This window comes from Homo sapiens, chromosome 10 (assembly GCF_000001405.40).
Source record: "Homo sapiens chromosome 10, GRCh38.p14 Primary Assembly".
NCBI lineage: Eukaryota > Metazoa > Chordata > Mammalia > Primates > Hominidae > Homo > Homo sapiens.
Window position 1 is genome coordinate 7,142,853 of NC_000010.11, and position 5,045 is coordinate 7,147,897.

Below are 5,045 nucleotides of genomic sequence, written 5' to 3' on the forward strand. Positions count from 1 at the left end.
TTAGTGGGTGCAGCACACCAGCATGGCACATGTATACATATGTAAGTAACCTGCACAATGTGCACATGTACCCTAAAACTTAAAGTATAATAAAGAAAAAAAAAGAAAAAAAAATGATCACTGAATCCCAACCATGAGCTTCCCTCTTGTTCACATTCACCTGTGCTCACCCTTCCTCCTTGCCTGCTCAGCATGCCCTATCTCTTGCATTCCAACCTTCAACCTGGTATCCACCTTCTCAAATCACCTTCTTGACCTAGCAGCCTCCCACACACCCCAGAGGGGCCATCATCAGCTCTCTTCATCCGGATCTATTGTTCTGCTTATTCATTGACTTTGCCACCTCAGTATGCAGTCTTTGAGAATCAGTACCTTCCATTTTTCATGAACTGTACAATCCGAGAGCATCAAACAATAGTAGCTGTTTACTGAATTACATTTTAAAAATAGTCCAGGATAAATGATTTCTGAATTACAATCTTTAGCATTTTTCAGAGGTGCACACTTTATTTTAATTTGCTCCTTCTATCCACATGTCTTAGTTTAATTCTCAACAGTCCACTAAACATTTATGCAAGACTCCCCTTCCAACAAATTGAGCATTCATTTTCATATACCTTGTATACATTAAAGGTAGTTTCCTGCTTTCATGCCTTTTAAGCATTATAAAGATCGAGTAGAAAGTGGACATCTATGGGATATCCTGACAGTAGACATCTATGGGATATCATAACAGGGTCTGCTCTAGTTCTGCCAAGTTCTAGAAAACTCCATCATTCTGACTCTCCATTAGTCTTTGGTAACTGGCTCTGCATCTATCAGAAGGCACATGGAGTCTCCCTGATTAAGTTTCTGGGGTCTGTTTGATGCGTGTGCCTCTTTTTTTTTTTTATTTTTGAGACAGGGTCTTGCTCTGTCGCCCAGGCTGGAGTGCATTGGCACAATCTTGGCTCACTGCACCCTCCACCTCCTGGGTTCAAGCAATCCTCTTGCCTCAGCCTCCCTCGTAGCTGAAACTACAGGCATATGCCACCATGCCCAACTATTTTTGGTATTTTTAGTAGAGGTGGGGTTTCACTATGTTGGCCAGTCTCGTCTTGAAGTCCTGACCTCAGGTGATCCACCTGCCTCGGCCTCCTGAAGTGCTGTGATTACGGGCGTGAGCCACCGCACCCCGCCTGATGCTCGTACCTTTATCACTCATACTCTTGTCTCTGTCTAGAACTCCTTTTAGAGGGAATGTTTGGGAATTATTGCTATCCTTAGCACATTTACCCTCCTCTGGCACTTGGTACTTGCCTGAGCATTCCAGGCTTGCTTGACTACAAGGACATGGCCACTTGGTTTGCCCTGGTTCCGTGAGTGTTCCCTCTGGTATAGTCTTTCAGTCTCAGCCTCTTGTTGGTCTCTACATTCCAGAAGTTTCCTTTGGGTTGACATCCCATCTCTGTAAACATCATTTGACTCATTTTCATTAGGAGATGTGTAGTTGAAGAGCATAAGTTTCCAATTTCATATGAGGAGAAACTGAGATTTACACAAAGCTTTATAGGAAATAGTAATAAAGCTAGAGTTGGCTATTGCAAGATGATAATAAATAAAGACTGTTTGCCCACACCAGATGTTACCTGGTAGATCTGGGACATGAGCAGTTCACCAAATATGGCAATTCTAACTTACTCACATGAAGGAAAGAAGGCAATCTTCAACACTCACAAGGTTCGGACATTTCCCTACAGAGCTTTTATCAAATTTCTCACATCCTGATTGATGTGAATTGTCCCTGGTTTGTGTCCTTTTAGTGTGGGGGAAAGTGATGAGCAGTGAAATCAACAAGGCAGCGACTTCAAAGACCAGAAGATGAGTGAGCTTCCTGAGTAATCAACAGTTGGCCAAGGATGTTGACCTCACAGTGAAGGTAGTTTTGAGAAAGAGAACACGACCAATGTTTAAAAGTCTCATTCCACCTGCTCTTTAGATGGCTGTAAACTCCTAAAAGGCAGATCTGTGTGCTCTGCTTATGACATACTCTCATAACCCTGAGCTCAGGGGCTTATAAGTAGAGAACATTCACCAAAGTATTGTTGAATAAAGAATGAATTAATATTATCATAGCTACCAGTACTGGATTTCCATATTATATCCCAGAGATAAACACAGTAAGATGCAATCTTATTAAGATAATATCAAGGTTGTAAAAATATTTCTGGCAGAGCTAAATTTTTCTATTTCTTTAGGGCCAAGATTACTATGTACAGTAATAGGATGAAAACAGATTAGGAAAATTCCCTGACATAAATAAGAGTTAGTAAAATGCAGAATGTTCAGTGAGGTGCACAGACATTTTAAAAGATTTATGTCATGGGTTGCCACCGTATTTTGATACTTCCCGATGGCATTTTATGTAAAAATTGAACTTTGAAAGAATTTTATAATTCATTTTAAAGTTAATTTTGTGCATTCATTATTAACCAAGGAAGTATACAACTGTGATAAAATAGCTTGCTAACAGTAGCTACCCAGGGACTACACAAACTGTGTTGTATTATGCAGTTGTTCTTTTGCATATTTCATTTACTCAGGGGGAAAATATTATAATTTGTAATTTCCATATTGCCAGATTGTTGTGCATTCTCCAATGATTACTGTCTCTATTTGTTTGGAATCTGTCAATTTCTGCACAATTTCATAAGACAATTTGACTTCCCAAACACTGGAAGAATCTCGGAGGGCTGCATTTCAATTGAAAATAGAAAAGATCACAGTTATTGCTCAAGAATACCAACTCAGCATCATCATTTGTTACAGCACCTTCCCAGTCTATTTCTCTTTTCTCCCCTGAAGCTTAACTATTTGATTTCATCTTGGTACGACAACATTTTCAAAAATGTAATCGTAAATATTATTTATTTTAATGCTGAAATAAGAAATGTGGGAGATGCAGTTATTATAAGTTTGCTGTATGCTGCAATTGCCTTACAAATGTACCTAGATTTATGTGGGGATTAAATGCAGTAACTCTCTCGCAAGACTCAAAACAATTTCCACAGCATTTAATATATGAATTGTATAAATAGTTTTCAAAAATTATTAAGTCAAAGAAATTCTATTTGGTCCTTGCCTGTACATTCTCCACACTTAACAACGTTCTCCTCAGCTCCCTTCCAGCCCAGCAACTAAAAGGTTCTAATACCGTTATACCGCTTTCACAGCGGCACATTTAATTTTGCTTTGCTTCATCAAGTTGTTCCTCAAATAGGTTTGCAATTAGAGTGGATGTCATGTCAATCAGGAAAATCTGTTTGTTTAATTCTATCAAGTCAGCGAGTATTTATTGAATGCCTACTTGGAGCTGAGTGCTGAAAATACTCTTTTCTGCAATATTCTGGGCTGCTGGCTCGCTGGATCCTTGAAGGATTTTTTTTTTTCAGGCTCCTTCTTCAAAGTCCTAGTTCTTTAAACCAGAGAGCAAAAATTAACAGAGTAGCTAAGGGAACTTTTTTCAGCTTCATTTTTCTTACCCATTAGAGTGGTTATTGCGAAATTTTCATGCATTCAACACTATGCATAGGCAACAAACATATGTAGCAGAAAATAATAATGATAAATATGTAAAACTTTAGAAGCAATCTACAAGATATATATATGCTAGTAGTGTGGTTTAAGATCGTGTTTTATTTTATTTTATTTTTTTTGGAGATGGAGTCTTACTCTGTCACCCAGGCTGAAGTACAAGGGTGCAATCATGGCTCACTGCAGCCTCTGCTTCCCAGGTTCAAGTGATTCTCCTGCCTCAGCCTCCTGAGTAGCTGGGATTACAGGTGCCCGTCACCATGCGTGGCTAATTTTTGTATTTTTAGTAGAGACGGGATTTTGCCATGTTGGCCAGGCTGCTCTTGAACTCCTGACCTCAGGTGATCCGCCTGCCTCAGCCTCCCAAAGTGCTGGGATTATAGGTGTGAGCCACCGCGCCCGGCCCAAGATTGTGTATTAAAAGGCACTATATCATAGAGGTCAAGTCCCTGGTCTGTCAGTTACTAGTTGCTGACCATAAGCTAGTGGTTTAACTTCTCTATATCTCAGTTGCTCATATGTAAAATGGGAAGAGTAATAGAGAATGCCTCATAAGGCTGTTGAAGGATTAAATGACATAATTCCTATAAGGCATTGTAGTTAGATGAGAAATCAGGATGTCCAGAGGCTTATTTGGGTACTTACGAGAAAGCTGGCTCCAGGGGTCCAAGTTAGCTCAGTTCCGGAAGCTCCCCTTTCTAAAAAGGCCATTTCCCCAACCAGGAAGCTTCCATTGTCACAGTCATGTAGATGTGCTGGACCCCCAGAACTGCAAATGCGTAGAACTGATTCACAATGGAACTTCCCTCTGTTTTTGAACATTGGCCAGAGTATACTGTCCACATATGCCCTGTCTAAACTGCAGGGTAAAGAGAAGTCGCAGATGCTATGACCTCTAACTCCTCTTTGCTTGTAAGTTACCCCTCCCCCATGAACTTTGTATATTTGCACCAGAGCCAAGGAATGCAAGTGCAAAGGTGAGGAAGGCTTCCCAGAGGGAATGTCCCAGTTGGTTTTCAAAGGATGGGAAGGATCTTTGTAGGATATACAGGAGTTGACCTACTGTGGCCCTTTGGCAGAGCAGAGGGCCACAGTGGGTCAACTCCTCTTCATCCTACAAAGTCCAGCTCAAGCTTTCACTTCCTTGTGACCTCCCTGGTGACCACTGAGCCCAGGCACAGCCCCTCTCCCAGAACAGGGTGAGTCCTCCTTCCAGGCACAGCCCCTCTCCCAGAACAGGGTGCGCCCTCCTTCCAGGCACAGCCCCTCTCAGAGAACAGGGTAAGCCCTCCTTCCAGGTGCAGCCCCTCTCCCAGAACAGGGTAAGTCCTCCTTCCAGGTGCAGCCCCTCTCCCAGAACAGGGTGAGTCCTCCTTCCAGGTGCAGCCCCTCTCCCAGAACAGGGTAAGTCCTCCTTCCAGGTGCAGCCCCTCTCCCAGAACAGGGTGCGCCCTCCTTCCAGGCACAGCCCC